Source organism: Homo sapiens, chromosome 18 (genome assembly GCF_000001405.40).
Source record: "Homo sapiens chromosome 18, GRCh38.p14 Primary Assembly".
NCBI classification, from domain to species: Eukaryota; Metazoa; Chordata; class Mammalia; order Primates; family Hominidae; genus Homo; species Homo sapiens.
This window is the reverse complement of record NC_000018.10, coordinates 22,730,152-22,747,662: the sequence shown is the minus strand read 5'-3', so window position 1 is coordinate 22,747,662 and position 17,511 is coordinate 22,730,152. Positions and strand designations below refer to the sequence as shown.

General features: G+C 37.0%; 1 long non-coding RNA gene across 1 annotated transcript in view; it reads left to right on the top strand.

Annotated features, from left to right (window-relative positions):
* Positions 1 to 17,511, top strand: part of RBBP8-AS1 (RBBP8 antisense RNA 1) — a 210,274-nt gene that overhangs the window by 186,102 nt on the left and 6,661 nt on the right. Inside the window, exon 4 of the long non-coding RNA NR_198963.1 lies at positions 16,812 to 16,969. This is a non-coding gene — a long non-coding RNA (RBBP8 antisense RNA 1). The remainder of the gene's footprint in view (positions 1 to 16,811; positions 16,970 to 17,511) is intronic.

The following is a 17,511-nucleotide window of genomic DNA, read 5'->3' as shown; positions in this document are numbered from 1 at the left end:
GGGTTTTTATCATAAAAGAATTTTGAATTTCACCAAATGTCTTTCCAGCATCTATTGAAATGACCATATAACCTTTCTTATTGGTTTTATGTGATGTATCACATTTGTTGCATATGTTGAATCATTTTTTGCATCCTTGGGATTAAATCCCACTTGATCATGGTGAATGATCTTTTTAATGTGCTGTGGAATTCAGTTTGCTAGTATATTGTTGAGGAGCTTTGCATCTATGTTAATCAGTGACATTAGCCTGTGGTTTTGTTGTTGTTGTTGTTGTTGTGTCCATTTCTGGTTTTGGTATCAAGGTGATGCTGGCTTGTCCAATGAGTTTGGAAGTATTCTCTCCTTTTCATATTTTTTAAAAGAGTTTGAGTAGACTTTGCATTAATTCTTTAAGTAAAGCCGTCAGGTGCTGGGCTTTTATTTTAGTTTTTTAGACAAGATGTCACTCTGTTGCCCAGGCTAGAGTGCAGTGATATGATCATAGCTCACTACAACCTCAAACTCCTGGACTCAAGCTGTCCTCCTGCCTCAGCTTCTGGAGTAGCTTGGAGTACAGGGGTGTGCCACTACACCTTTAAAACAATTTTAAAACTTTTGTGGAGATGAGGTCTTGCTGTGTTTCCCAGGCTGGTCTCAAATACCTGGCTTCAAGCAGTCCATCTGCCTTAGCTTCCCAAAGTACTAGGAGTATACACGTGAGCCACCGTGCCTAGGGCTTGGGCTGTTCTTTGATGGGAGACCTTTTAGTGTGACTTGAATCTTGTTACTTGTTACAAGTTTATTAAAGTTTTCTATTTCTTCATATTTCAATCTTGGTAGGTTGCATGTTTCCAGAAATTTATCAATTTCCTCTAGGTTTTCTAATTCATTGGTGTATAGTTGTTCATAATAGTCTCTAACGATTCTTTGTATTTGTGTGGTCTCAGTTGTTATGCATCCTTCTCTGTTTCTAATTCTATTTGAGTCTTCTCTCTCTTTTTCTTGGTTAGTCTAGTTAAAGGTTTGTTGATTTTGTTCATCTTTTCAGAAAACCAACTTTTCATTTTGTTGGTCTTCTATTTTTTTGTTTCATTTATTTATGTTTTGATCTTTATTATTTAGTTCCTTTACTAATTTTGGGTTTGGTTTGTTCTTGCTTTTTTAGTTCCTTGAGGTGCATCATTAGGTCATTTATTTGAAGTCTTTCTACCTTTTGGATATGGAGCATTTTTGCTATAAACTTTCCTTGTAGTACTGCTTTTGCTGTATTCCATAGATTTTGGTATGTTGTATATCTATTTCCATTTGTTTCAAGAAATGTTTTAATTTTCGTCTTAATTTCTTCATTGACCTATTGTTCATTCAGGAAAATGTTTAATTTCCATGTGTTTATGTATTTTCTGAGGTTTCTTTTGTCATTGATCTCTAGTTTTATTCCACTGTAGTCAGAAGAGATACTTGATTGTTTTGTGGCCTAAGATATAATCTGTTGGGGGGAATATTCCATGTGTTGGGGGGAATATTCCATGTGTTGGGGGAATATTCCATGTGTTGATGAAAAGAATATGTTCTACAACTGTTGGTTGAAATGTTCTGTAAATGTCATTTAGGCCTATTTGGTTTAGTGTGTAGTTTCTTTGTTGATTTTCTGTCTGGATGATCTGTCCATTACTGAGAGTAGGGTGTTGAAGTCCCCTACTAATATTGTATTACAGTCTAATACAATATTAGTAGGTTTAGATCTATTAAGGTTTGCTTCTTATACTTGGGACCTCTGGTGTTGAGTGCATAGACACTTATAATTATTATAGCTTCTTGCTGAATTAATCCCTATATCATTATATAGTGACCTTCTTTGCCACTTCTTATAGTCTTTGATTTTTAATCTATTTTATCTGATATAAGTATAGTGATTCCTGCTCTCTTTTGGTTTCCAGTTGCATGAAATATCATTTTCCACCACTTAACTTTCAGTCTGTGTCTGTATAATGAAAGTGGATTTTTATGTAGTTAAAATAAGCAGTATGTAATTGGGTCTTTTTCTTTATCCATTCAGCCACCGTGTGCCTTTTAACTGAACAATTGAGTCCATTTACATTCAGTGTTATTACTGATATGTAAGGACTTACTACTGCCATTTTTCAAAACTTGTTTTCTGGTTGTCTTGTAACTCTTCTCTTTCTTTGTTCCTGTCCTCCTTTGTGGTTAAGTGATTCTCTTTGGTAGTGTGTTTGAATTCATTGCTTTTTTATTTTTAGTAAATCTATTATAGGTTTTTTAAAATCATAGTGGTTATCGTGAGGCTTACAAAAAACTTCTTATAGATATAACAAGTTATTTTAAAGACTACTTATCTTAGATTACAAAGAAAAACGAAGAAAAAAACCTCTACCCTTTAATTCTACTTTCCCCACATTTTAACTTTATGTTGTCTCAATTTACATATTGTTATATGACTTATCTCCTAATAGGCCAGTATAGCTATTATTGTTTTTGATAAATTTGTCTGTTGGGCTTCATACTAGAGTTATGAATGGATTGCGCATCACAGTTACAGTATTAGATTTTTTTTGTTTGTTCATGTACTTAATTTTACTAGTGAGTTTTATATTTTCAAATGTTTCTTTTTGCACATTAGTGGTTCTTTTCTTTCAGTTTGAAGAGCTCCCCTTAGCATCTTGTAAGCTGGATCTGGTGGTGGTAAATTATCTTAGTTTTTTGTTTGTCTGGGACTTTAATCTCTCTCTCTTTATATATTTGAAGGACAGCTTTGCTGGACAAAGTGTTCTTGGATGGTAGTTTTTTTCCTCTCAATACTTTGGAAATGTCACACCATTACCTCCTAGACTGTATGGTTTCCATTGAAAAGTCTGTTGCTGGGTCAAATGGTATTTCTAGTTCTAGATCCCTGAGGAATCGCCACACTGACTTCCACAATAGTTGAACTAGTTTACAGTCCCACCAACAGTGTAAAAGTGTTCCTATTTCTCCACATCCTCTCCAGCACCTGTTGTTTCCTGACTTTTTAATGATTGCCATTCTAACTGGTGTGAGATGATATCTCATTGTGGTTTTGATTTGCATTTCTCTGATGGCCAGTGATGGTGAGCATTTTTTCATGTGTTTTTTGGCTGCATAAATGTCTTCTTTTGAGAAGTGTCTGTTCATGTCCTTCACCCACTTTTTGATGGGGTTGTTTGTTTTTTTCTTGTAAATTTGTTTGAGTTCATTGTAGATTCTGGATATTAGCCCTTTGTCAGATGAGTAGGTTGCAAAAATTTTCTCCCATTTTGTAGGTTTCCTGTTCGCTCTGATGGTAGTTTCTTTTGCTGTGCAGAAGCTCTTGAGTTTAATTAGATCCCATTTGTCAATTTTGGCTTTTGTTTCCATTGCTTTTGGTGTTTTAGACATGAAGTCCTTGCCCATTACTGGGTATATACCTAAAGGACTATAAATCATGCTGCTATAAAGACACATGCACATGTATGTTTATTGCGGCATTATTCACAATAGCAAAGACTTGGAACCAACCCAAATGTCCAACAATGATAGACTGGGTTAAGAAAATGTGGCACATATACACCATGGAATACTATGCAGCCATAAAAAGTGATGAGTTCATGTCCTTTGTAGGGACATGGATGAAATTGGAAATCATCATTCTCAGTAAACTGTTGCAAGAACAAAAAACCAAACACCGCATATTCTCACTCATAGGTGGGAATTGAACAATGAGAACACATGGACACAGGAAGGGGAGCATCACACTCTGGGGACTGTTGTGGGGTGCAGGGAGGGGGGAGGGATAGCATTGGGAGATATACCTAATGCTAGATGACGAGTTAGTGGGTGCAGCGCACCAGCATGGCACATGTATACATATGTAACTAACCTGCACATTGTGCACATGTACCCTAAAACTTAAAGTATAATAATAAAAAAAAAAAATTCAGACCAAGTCATTAAACTTTTTTGCTTATGGAAAGTAAAAAAAAAAAAAAAAAAAAAAAAAAAAAAGTCTGTTGCTAGACGAGTTAGAGCTCCTTTATATGAATTTACTTTCTCTTGCAGCTTTTAGGATTCTCTCTTTGTCATTGGCTTTTGAGCGTTTGATTATTATATGCCTTGGGGTAGTCTTAGTTAGGTCTAATCTTTTTGGTGTTCTCTGACCTTCCTGTACTTGGACATTTATCTTTTTCTTAAGTTTGAAAAGTTTTCTGTTATGATTTCTTTGAATCATCTTTCTACCCCTTGTTCTTTCTCAGATCCCTCTTGAACACCAGTGATTCTTAGATTTGGTATTTTGAGGTAATTTTCTATATCTTATAGGCATTCTTCATTTCTTTTCATTCTTTTTTCTTTTTCCTTCTATGACTGTGTATTTTCAAATATCCTGTCTTTGAGCTTGCTAGTTCTTGCTCTAGTGAGCTTAGGTTTATCCATTCTACTGTTGATAGCCTCTAATGAATGTTTTAGTTCAGCTAACATATAGCTCAGTTCCAAGATTTCTGCTTGATTTTAAAACATTATTTCAGTCTCTTTGATACATTTCTGAATTGCTTTTCTGTGTTATCTTGGAGGTCATTAAGTTTTTGAAAAAAACTGCTATTTTGAATTATAGTTCAGAAAGTTTACATATTGCTGTCTTGTTTGGGTCAGTCAGTGGTGCCTTGTGTTGTTGGTTTGAGGCAGTCATGGTTCTCTGCTGTTGTTTGTAGATGTATGTTTATGTCTTTGCGTTGAAGAATTAATTATTTAATTCACGCTTCTCTGTCTGGCTTGTTTGATTTTTACTGGATGTGTTTGCTTAGAGATTCTTCATAATTTATCTGTTGATTTTGTTTCTCCCTGCCCCCACCACTATGTTGCTGCCTCGTTTTTGGGACTAGATGACATGTTAAGCTCAGTTTTGCTTTGGTTCTAGTAAATGATCAGAGTGCCATCTGTCCCAAATGGGAGTGTTCCAAAACGGGATTTCCTAGTAGTGTGGGAAGGCTGGCTAGGTGTTTGTGCCCAGGGGACTTGTGGAATGAACCTCCTACAGTGTGGTGCTGCTGAACAGCCACTCTGATTTGTCATCTCCTTTGCATGAGTTACAGAGCAGCATTTCCAGGGCTGGGAAGGTAGTTTCACTTCTCCCTTTTGTCTCTGGCTATCTTCAGGAATATTTTTCCCTTCAGGCACTGCTGGTGTTTATTGTGGGTTGAGGCAGGGTATCCTGCCAGGGAACCCAAGATGGTGGGAAAGTTGGTTGTTAACCTCGATCTCACATTTTCTAGTGTAGAAACTATGATTTGGAGTAAAAAATTTCTGTATGCTTGGTGCTGGGTACACTGAGGGAGGGGTATCATGGATATTGAAGTCTCATTCTTTTACTGTCTGCTTGGAGTATTTTCACATCTGAATGGCCCCAGTAATTGTCTCATTCTTGTATTTGAGTTCTGGGATAATATTGGTGATAATCTCATCACTGTGTATTCATTTTTGTTTCTTTGTTGGGGAGAGTGAAGCCAACTTGCTTCTATACCACCATTTTGTTTTAAAATTTTAAAAAAGTGTTTAATGCATGTATTTTATTAGAATGATATTTTGAACACTGAGATTTGTGATTTTAGTCTCTTACAGTTACTCTAATACATACATTTAAAACAATGGCCAAAGCAGCAATTACATCAGCTTGCTCCAGGAGTCATTATTTACCCAAATACTATTTTGGTAAATTATAAAATGAATGTACACAGGAGCACGTTAAGTAGAAATTAAATCAATTTGGGACACACAAGGCTGCTAACTTTTGTACTGGAATCCAATGGCAGATGAGTCATTCTTGGGGTGGAAGGACTCCCTGATTTCACAGAACACTAAGTACGACCACCAATGGACCATTTCAACTATCTCACAACCAATGGAAGAGTCAGTTGGTCTCATCCCAGATGCCAAAAGCAACAGACAGGCCATCACAATTTGGCTTGTTCACCTTGTAAATACATGACTTTATTTCTGCTTAAGTCATTCATATAAGCAAGTCTAATAAATACAATAAAATATAGCCCAACCAAAGTCTCATGTCACGTTTTATAGACATGGGTATATGAAACCACGAACGTGCTAATGGAAAATAGAAGCATTTTCTTATTATCATATTACCATGAAACTGAATCTGCATCCATTCTTAGAAAGGAAACTACATTTCCTGTTTGAAGAATTAGCATAGGCCTACTCATTCTGTGCAAAGATCCTTAAAAAAATCAAATTTTACTTAAAAAAATAGTGTCTGTCTTTAGATTATGTGCCAATAATTCTTTGAAGTAATTATTTTTAAAATGTTGGTACACAGGAAAAGTTCACATTACAGAATACAAAGAACAAAAACTGGTCCCTCCAAAATGGATTTTTCCCCCAGAAAAATGAACAAGACTTTGAATCTCTTAAGAAATACGAAGATAAGTAACAAATGAACAGTTGATGTACAGCAGGATAGCGTTTACTTCTGGATATATAAGGAACTTAAGAACTATACTTATGGAAAATCAGAATGATTTTCAGCATATTTCACCAAATAGATGTTGGCGAATAGTTTGGCAACACATATATAGGAAGATGGTTTATGCTACACATAAATGAAAGGCAAACATAAACACAATTGGCGAATAGTTTGGCAACACATATATAGGAAGATGGTTTATGCTACACATAAATGAAAGGCAAACATAAACACAATTGATGTGTTTTATTATATTACTACAATTTACACTATACCTATACCCACATGGAAAAATTCACAATTATAAATAGTGAATTTTTATAATTTTATAATTATATAATTATAAATATAATTATATGATTATAATTATATAATTATAAACATAATTATAAATATATTCATAAATATAATATATATTTATATATATTTATAAAAATAATATATATTTATATATATAATTATAAATATAATATATATATTTATAAATATATACAATATATATTTTATATATTATATGTATTATATATATTATATATTATATATTATATTTTATTTTATATTATATATTATATTATATAATATATATAATATATTATATATTATAATAATATATAATATATATTATATATTATTATAATAATATATAAAAATAAATATATATATACATGGTAATATATATTATATATAATTATATATAATTATATATATAAATTTTATATTTATAATTATATATAATTATATAACTATTTATAAATATATTATATTATAAATATAATTATAATTCACTATATAGTGAATTATAAATTGTTCTATTTATAAATATATTATAAATATAATTATAATTCACTATATAGTGAATTATATATATAATTATAATTCACTATATAGTGAATTATAAATAGTTCTATTAATTATAATGTTCTATTATAATAGAATATTATAATATTCTATAAAAACTGAAAACTAGAACAGTAAAAAACTATTTAAAACAGTCTTTTTACAACCACTATTTGCATAATTTCCAGTAAAGACTTAAAAGCTGTATTAGTCTGTTCTCACACCGCTATAAAGAACTACCTGAGACTGGTGACTTATAAAGAAAAGAGGTTTAATTGACTCACAGTTCTGCAGGCTGTACAGGAGGCATGGCTGGAGAAGCCTCAGCAATCTCATAATCATAGCAAAAGGCGAAGGGGAAGCCAGCACACCTTACATTGTGGGAGCAGGAGGAAGAGAGAGAAGGGGGAAGTGCTACACACTTTAAAACAACCAGATCTTGTGAGAACTCACTCACTATCGTGAGAACAGCAAGGGGATATCTGTCCCCATGATCGAATCACCTTCTACCAGGTCCTTCCCCCAACATTAGGGATTACAATTCAACATGAGATTTGGGTGGGGACACAGAGCCAAATCATATCGGAAGCCTAATACATGTATGCAAATCTTTTATGGATTATAATAATGTACATTTAAAATTATATTTTAATATTGTGGCATGAAAAATATAAACACCAGTGCAGTGTGTTTTATGCTTAGTCAAAGTTAACTAGTTTAGAGTTTTAGAAACTTTTCCAGGTAAAATAGAGTCAAGTCTGCTCTAGATCACCATCCTACAGATTCCTATTTATCAAACCTGGCAATCTCAGTGAACTGTGATTGCACTACTTCACTCTAGCCTGGGCAACAGGCTAAAAATAAACCCAAAACCAAACCAAACAAAAAAACCCACACCTGGCTATCTACCTCAATCCATCAATGACCTTCAGGCCTTTCTTTGAACTTGACAACATCACTCCCAACCTTAGTTTTTACACTAAAAGAGAGAGAGGAATAGTAATGTGAAGCATTTAAAACAGAAATGAAACCTGCATCTTTAGAATGTCATTTTTGTGCTTTAGAGTTTTCCTTTGCCTGTTGGTTCCTAAATATAGACTCCACATTTCGGTTCCAAGAACTGACTTAGAAAGATGTAGAGTGTTTTAATGTTTGTTTTAGATATATTCTTAGAAAATGAGCAAAAATAGATATAAACCTCAAGCTGTGTCTATAGCAATATCATTCAATGTGACTTTTTTTTTTTTTGAGAGGGAATCTTCCTCTGTCACCCAGGCTGGAGTTCAGGGGCGCCATCTCAGCTCACTGCAACATCTGCCTCCTGGGTTCAAGTGATTCTCTGGCCTCAGCCTCCTGAGTAGCTGGGATTACAGGTGTGTGCCACCACTATTTTTAGTAGAGATGGGTTTTTACCATGTTTCCCAGGCTGGTCTTGAGGGCTGACCTCAAGTGAACTGCCTGCCTTGGCCTCTCAAAGTGCTGGGATTACAGGTGTGAGCCACCACGCCCAGCCAATATGGTATTATTTTTACCAACAAATTATCCAACTTGATTACTCTATACAAAAAGTGTATGCATATGAAATACATACTACATACAAAACAAAAAGCATAGAGTTAGAGAAAACAAATGAAAACTTTATACAAAATACTTGATTCCATCAGTATTTAATGTATTGTTTTGGCTGGAAGACTCTTACTCTGTGTATTCTTTTCTGATGTTAAAGAGTAGTCACATCTATGTAGCATTCGTAACTATAGAAAAATAGGAACGAAGGCCGGGCGCGGTGGCTCATGCCTGTAATCCCAGCACTTCGGGAAGCCAAGGAGGGTGGATCACCTGAGGTCAGGGTTCAAGACCAGCCTGGCAAACATGGTGAAACCCCTGTCTCTAGTAAAAATACAAAAATTAGCCGGGCATGGTGGCAGGCGTGCCTGTAATCCCAGCTACTCGGGAGGTTGAGGCAGAAGAATCGCTAGAACCCAGGATGTGGAGGTTGCAGTGAGCCGAGGTGGTACCATTGCACTCCAGCCTTGGTGACAGAGCGAGACTCCATCTCAAAAAAAAAAAAAAAAGAAAAATGGGAATGAACGTGGGGAGGGGGTGGCTACTGACACAGCTAAAATACACAAATGTGCTGTTTATAAATATGTATACAATTTAGCAGGGTCATATTATCTGAGTTAATTTCTTTTGCTTGTTTACATTTACCAGTAAGTGGTCCGGAATACAAAATATGGTAAAAGAACTCAATTTTATAATTACTCCTTGGTATAGTTACCAGAATGAAAAACTTGCATCCTAGGAATAGGGAGGTATGGAAAACAACTTTTCTTAACTTGGAGATAACACATTGAATAGCTGTCAAAATTCAAATTGACTAGTTTTGAAAAACTTGAAAAGTGTTCAAATGAATAAAAAACGAAAACAAAAGAAACCCATAGTTGCCTAAGAGTCTTAAAAATTAGAAATTTAACACTCTCATCAATACACCACCATTTTGGAACCAGAACTGGGTTTTCTTTGTTTATTTGTTTTTTTGGCCTATACTTCTGGACTGTGAACTTCACACATGTTTCTCAGTTCTTCCCACCACTTAGGTGGGATACAATGGCTGGAGTGGACTAGAGTTGGGTATTTCCCTTCTTCCACATGGAAGGCAGAGCTGGCTGGAGTTGGATTATTTCTCTTCCCTCAGGTCTGTTAAGCTCTGTTAAACGGTTTCTCCTGAGGGGTGGACCTTATTAAGAACTGAGTGCTCTGGCATCTTTAAAAATGTTTCCTTTTCCCTTCTTCCTGCAGGAAGTATGAGGAGATTTTCCTCCAGTATTCACTGTGAGAAACTGGTCCTGCTCCTGGAGGCAAATTCACAAAAGCACGGAGGCCCTGATGACTGAGTGCCCCCCAGTTTTTAATCTCTGGGGCTCGTTGGCTCTGGGCCTCCAGCCACTCATCAGTGATGTTCAGGTTTCCCTACCTTGGCACTGCTTCCCACGGAGGTTTGTTTTTAGGGGTTTCAGTCTTCTGCATATGGCTAGCCAGTTATCCCAGCACCATTTATTGAATAGGCTGTGGGTGGGTGGTTGCTCCGCAGTGGGGGCTGGTGTGCTAGATCTCTCCTAAGGTCAGGTGTGGTCTGCTAGTAAAGGAGCTATGATGATGGCCCCTGGTAGTTACCCTGGTTGGGCATCAGAGGCTGTGCTGCAAATGGGTGCAGCAAGCTGGGGCCCCAGAAGAGACCAGCAGATAGGGGTTGCTCAGATTGGACTGGCCCTCATCTCATGGGCAAGACCACCTTGCTCTATTCAGGTCTGGCACTCATTAAAGGCCAAGGCCACCTAAAGGAGCATGGAGAGTTTTGGGAGATGGGCATCCCCAGCCATGCTCCACTGTAGCTGTTTCTATGCCAAACCCTCTGGGTGCCACATAGACTGGAGTCCTGCCCCTACCCCCTTTCTAAGCAGCTCTCCCTACCAGCTCAAGTGTCCATGGGAGTCTTTGGGTCTCCTGCAGCTGGGATTCTGGAGGTCCATCATGAGAGCAGGCCCCTCCTTGCCTGTTCAACTCACCCCTTTCTCAGGAAACACTATATTTTAAAACTCGTTCTGTTTTTTTGTTTCCTCTAAATTATATAAGCTTTTAAGGCTTTCTTTCTTTTTTGATTTTAAATTTTATTTATTTGAATTGACAAGTTAAGATTGTGCATATTTATGGTGTATAACAATGTTTTGATGTATGTATACATTGTGGAATGGCTAAATCAAGCTATTTAACATATGCATAACTTCACTTTTTTTTGTGATGAGAAGACAAAATGTATTCTCTTAGCGCTTTTCATGTGTGCAATTGTTATTAACTATGGTCACTATGTTGTATAATAGATCTCTCAAACTTATTTCTCCAATCTAATTGAAATTCTGTATCCTTTGGCCAACATCTCCATCCACCCCCAACCTAGTCTCTCATAACCACCATTCTGCTCTCTATTTCTATGAGGTCAGCTTTTTTAGAGTCCACATACAAATGACATCATGTGGCTTTTGTCTTTCTCTGCCTGGCTTGTTACACTTAACATAATGTCTTTCAAGTTCATCCATGTTGTTACAAATGACAGAATTTTGTTCTTTTTAAAGGCTAAATAGTATCCCATTGTATATATACTACATTTTAAAAATTCATTCATCAGCTAATAGACACATAAGTTGATTCCATATCTTGGCTGTTGTCAATAATGCTGCAATAAATGTGGGAATGTGGATATCTTTTCCACATACTGATTTCATTCCCTTTGGATATATATCTGGTAGTGAGATTGCTGGATCCTATGGTAGTTCAAGTTTTAATTTTCTGAGGAACCCTCCATACTGTTTTCCACAGTGGCTGTGCTAATTCACATTCCCACCAACAGTGTTCAAGGGTTCCCTTTTCGCCACATCCTTGCCCACACTTTTATCTTTTTTAAGGCTTTCAGTCCAGCAAATTTTTAAATGATACACCTACTACGAATACTAATAAAAAATGACAAAATTTCCAGAATACTTTACAGAAGAAGGTAAAAAACTAAATAACATGTTTTCATTGAAGCATTTTTTCCTAATATCCAAAGACTAGAAACCACACAAGTAGAAGTGTCCACCAATAGGGGATTGACCATATAAACCTAGGTATTTAATATATCCACAAAATGAAATATGTGATAGCTGTAGCTGACTGTGAGGAACAGTACTGGATGCGGCCGAGAGAAGGAGTGTGTTTTCTTGTTGCATTTTGTGTGGTAGATGCAGCTTAATGCCACTAGCAGCTTTGCCTGGTTCTGGTGGGGTGGCTGGGCCAGCTGAAAGGCCTCTTTTATAGGCAGAAGCCTCTTCTTTCCCATGGCATGGGACTGGCCCTGCTCATGTTCCACTGCAGCTGGCCCAACCACCCCAAGGCCAAGGTCTTCACAGAGCCGCCTCGGATGGCTGCAGAGCACCCAGGTGTCCACCTTGTTTTGATGGATGTTACACTGATAAGAGGCATTCAGAAGTTTTCCTAAATGGTTGGAATATTAGCACAACAATTCATTTTTGTTAACTCCCTAGAGTGTGTTCCAACTGACCTTTTATAATAAGTTTTTTTCCAAGTTTACAACTCCTGAGAAGGTAGAAGGATGATGAAATTTCAGAAGAAATTTTGAAATTTGTGAAATCTTAGCCTTTGGGAGCTAGTCTTGGGATACAACATTGTTACCTAAATGATATGCTGTAATCCTAAACCTCCTTTTCAGGAAGCAGGCTGGAAAAACATTCAGTGATGCAGTAGGCTGTGGAATTGCTGAAATGTAGCCTGAGTTTTGGGAAATATGTGATGTGTTAAAATAGCTGGGACCCCAGGGATAGTGATGCACCAGACCAGCTGTGGACCAACGTTAATTCAAACCTCTCGACTCTGAGACACGTGGTTTCTCAATATGAACAATGTGGAAGACAGTAATTTTCTGCAAGCTCATTTTTGAAACCTGCTGTGTTTGTACATATTATTTGAGACTTATTTTTTTCATTTGTCTCAAGTGTATTCATAATTGCTCTTCGAAGCCTTTTTATGATGGCTGCTTTAAGATTCTCATCAGATGATTTCAACGTCTGTGTCATCTCTGTTGATTGTCTTTTCTCATTCAAATTGAGATTTTCCTTGTTCTTGGTATGATGAGTGATTTTCATTTACATCTTGGACATTTTGGATATTATGAGACTCTGGATCTTATTTAAATCTCCTGATTTAGGGCTCCTCTGGTTTCACATCGCCAAGGGGAAGGGGCCTTGCCTGTAACTGCCAAGTGAGGGTGAAAGTCCAGCTCCCCCACAGCCTTTAGTGACACTTGTGGGGGTGCTTTGTTACTCCTGGGGTGGATGGGGGGCAGGCTCCACATCAGGCTTCTGCTGGCACCGCCTGGCTGGCAGGGGGTAGGGGCCCCTCATTACTGGTGTCTGCATGCCCTCCACTGACACTGAGGGAGAGGAGGGGCTCACTATCCCTGGGAGGTGGTAAAAGTCCTGGCTTCTCACTCAGCCTCTTCTGGCTCCACCCTACCAGGAAGAGGTGGGGCACCTGGGCCATTATGGGAATAGTGTACTGCCGTAATATGACCGGCTCTTATCATTTTCAAGAAACTTTTTACATATACACAAAAGTAGAGAGACAAATATAATGAATTCCATATACTCATCATCCAACTTCAACAATGATATTTTGCCAATCTAGTTTCATCTGTCTCCCCCAAACTTGTCTTGCTTATATATGTTATAGCAAACCCCAGATATTATCTTATTTAGTAATACATACTTCACATGGAATTTTAAAAACTGTAACTCCAATTCCATTATCATTTTTAGCAAATTAATAATTATTTCTTAATATCTTTTTTATCAGTCTTCATTCAAATTTTCATGATTGTATAAAAAAGCTCTTTTTTACAGTTGGTTTTTTATATTGCAACTCTCACCTTAAAAACAAACAAACAATCTAACATTCTCCTCTTGGTAATTGTTGCTCATTTTTCTACTCCCTTTTATGATCAAATTCCATGAAGGAGACATCTAAACTCACTGTCTCAATTCCTCAACTCCCATTTTCTTTTTAACCCACTTTGATTTTGTCCCCATAAGTCCACTGGAACCACTCAATATCACCAATGGCCTCCATGTTTTTGAACCCAATGGTTCGTTTTAATATATACTCAAGTCCCAAGCAGTTGAGGAAGCTGATGTTTTCCTCCTGGAATATTTTCCTCACATGGTTTCTGGGACGTCATGTTCACCTTCTTTTCTTAACTCACTTGCTACCTCTCCCCTTCCTGATCTCTAATTTTTGGAACACTCTAGGAAGTACTTGGTTCTCTTTAGTATATGCATGTCTTTCTTAGGTGATAAACAAACTTTTTATGTTCATACTAACTTTTCATCTGTCCTCCAAGCTATATGTCAAACTAGCATATACATCATCTTCTCTTGGATGTCTAATAGGCATCTTAAACTTAACATCTTCAAATACTGACTCCAAATCAGACTGTGCTCCTCCCCAAGTCTTCCTCATTTCAGCAAATGGCACAACAGTAGTAAAAGAAGAGAGTAATGAGTTAACTTGGCATTGTAAACTTGTGTTATCTGGGGATGCCTCTCTGAAGAGGTAATATCTGAACCAAAGTTAGAATGACGAGAAGGATCTAGTTTAAAAAAAAGAGAGAGATGGAGGAATCTGGGAATCATTTATTTATTTTCTTATCCCCACATCTAATCTATCAACAAATTCTTTTTGCTCCACCTTCAGAACAAATATGGAACCTGGCTAGTCTTCATTACTTTCATTACTACTACCTTTTACTAAGTCACCATCATTTTTTACTTGGACCACTGCAATTGTTTTTCAAGTGGTCTTCCACAAGGATGTAATCTCTATCAGGATAGGGACATCTTTTATTTACTGATATACTCCTTGCACTTGCAACAAAACCTGGTAAATATTGATGCTCAGTAAATTATTATTGAATGCTTTCTCTACTTTTATCAGCCATATAAGGTTCATGGTACCTTTCTGCTCAATACATACCCATTCAATGGTTTTATATCACAATTAAACCTAAAATCTGATTATCACCTTACATGATTTGTCCCCTGCTATCACCCCAACTCATCTCCATCTGTCTTTCTCCTCACTCCCTCAACTCCAGCCACATTGGTTTCCTGGATGTACCTCAGACATGCCAAGCATGCTCCTATTTCATGGCCACACATGGCTGTTCCTTCCACCTGGGACATTGCTTCCCCAAATCTTCCCTGGCTGGCTTCTTCTCCTAGTTTCTGCTCAAATACTGCTTCTTTGGAGCAGCTTTCCTGGCAACATTATTTAGAGTGTCAACACATTACTCTCTTTCGTTTACTATGATTTTTTTTCTTCATAACCCTTATAACTAAAGGACATTTATGAATTTACTTTTTATTGTCTATCAAATTCACTAGAATGTGAGATACATGAGATAACTCTTATGTAACTCTAGCTCAGTAATGTTGTTGAATAAAGATATGTATCAATCCAGCAATATAACCTTCTTGCCTTACAAGTTTGGACATTGAGAACCTGAGAGGTAAGGTTGCTTGTTAGGTTGGTGGCTGAGCTGCAGCTCCTCTGCTATCCTCTGGAGTCTCAGTCCAGATTAAATTTCACTACATGACATTGCAATAAGGCCCTGAAAATTCTACTAGTTCCACTCCCTGCCCACTATACATGCAGAGCTTGCTGCGTGTTTTTATTTAACATCTTTAACAATAATGCAAGCTGGTTGGCACTTTCCAGGATTTCCCTAAGGGGAGAGGAGGAGCAGAACACCTCTGCTGGTTTCTCCTTTGAAACGGAGACTTTGCAACGTCAGCTGCCATGCCATTGTTGGACAACAATATGTGTCTCAGAGGCAAGGAAAATTTCCCACACTCGGTGCTTACCAGACGCCTGGCTGGTGAGCCCTGGTCTCCCCATTACTCCTGGGTTCCTTGTTTCTTTTTCCTCTCTCTTTGTTATGTCATCTATTCATGACTGGGGCAAGATGCCATGCTATTCTTTCTCAATTCTGGATCAGTCTGTTATTAGCTATTCTCCTTGGGTGCCCTATTCATGAAAACCCAGCCACCCCCAGTTGCAATAGGTGAATTACGTGGAAAAGTTCAAGGCACATTTTTCCTGCTTGGTTTGTGTGTTTCCTGTGATTCAGCAATCTTCAGAGAGAGCTCTTCATCATGTTACACCATCATGGCCTGTGTCTCTTGGTCCAAGTAGGCTAAATCCAGTCCAGAGTTTGTGGACGTTCTTAGGGAATATAAAGCTAAGGGGCAGCAAAGTGAGTCTGTATTGTGAGTTTGTTTCATCAATCTATGGTTTTAAGAGACCTAAAAATGGAAATGTACTCATGGTAAGAGCAAGTGGATAGAGAAGGTTAAACACGTGATGCTCCAGTCACTTTAGGTTAAACTTTAATTCCTCTCCAGGTGTGCCTCCCCCAGCTCTAACACTTTCCTAAGTTACCCTGCTTTCTGGACATCAGATTCCCCACTCAGTAAGTGGGGCTCAGAGCAATAACCTGATACAAAAATCTGGTGTTTTGTATTGTGCTTTTAGCTATTTTTAGACAGGAATTGAAGCCAGACTGAGCATCCTTTCATCTGCAGAGCTTAAGTGCAGGATGTTGGGAATCAGGACTCCAATTCATTGAACATGTGCCTGATCCTTTCACCTGTGAAGTTGTATACTTTTCCCCAGTTCAGGAGTTATACATATGTATGTGCCTGCATGCGTGTGCATGTGTGTGTGTGTGTGCAAATGAAAGAACTGAACTGAGTCCTGAAATGCCTTTTGAAATGTTAAACCATCAGATAAAATAGAAATGGTGCAGTATTGTATCTTAAACTTACAGATTAAGTACCTTAATTTCTAAGTATTGTATCTTTACCATATTTTATAGTATTGTATTTTAAACTTACAGATTAGTAGCACCAAATCTGTGGAGCCAGAAGATGTGGATTCAAACTCCTGCTGCACATCTTGTATGCTTTTTGATTTTGAAAGAGTTTTTTTTTTCCTTTTTGAGCCTTGGCTTCCATATATACAAAATGAAGTTACTAATAATATCAACCTTATAGGGTAAGCGTGAAGATTAGATAATGTATATGTATATAAAATGCTTAGGATAGTCTGATATTTGATAAATGTTCAATAACTATTAGTGTTCAATAAAAATTATAATTAGTAATATAATACACAGCGCCATAGAATCAGTGATAAAATAGAATTGCATGTTTTCTATCATATTCCCTTCTCTTTAGAATTTCATTGAAGCTTCTCTCTGCCTAACTGTACACCTTTTCAAAGACAAACCTCCCCAAATATGATACGGTCATGGTGGCCCCTTGAAGGAAATCTCTTCATTGCTTGCTAGTCTTTTGGGAGACCTCCAGGCACTTTTTTTCTAGAGAACTACAGATTATATTTTTATATTTTTCCCCTCATTTTAAGCTGTTTCTGAGGATTTAGGAGGGGGACAAATTATTGTGTGGGATTTACTCTTTCCATTCACTCTTATAAATGAATAAAATCACCTAAAATTCTCACCATGGGTTATTGGGGAGAGAAAAAAGAAACACGGAAGAGAGTGGAGAGGAAAAGCAATGTGGAAATGATAGTTT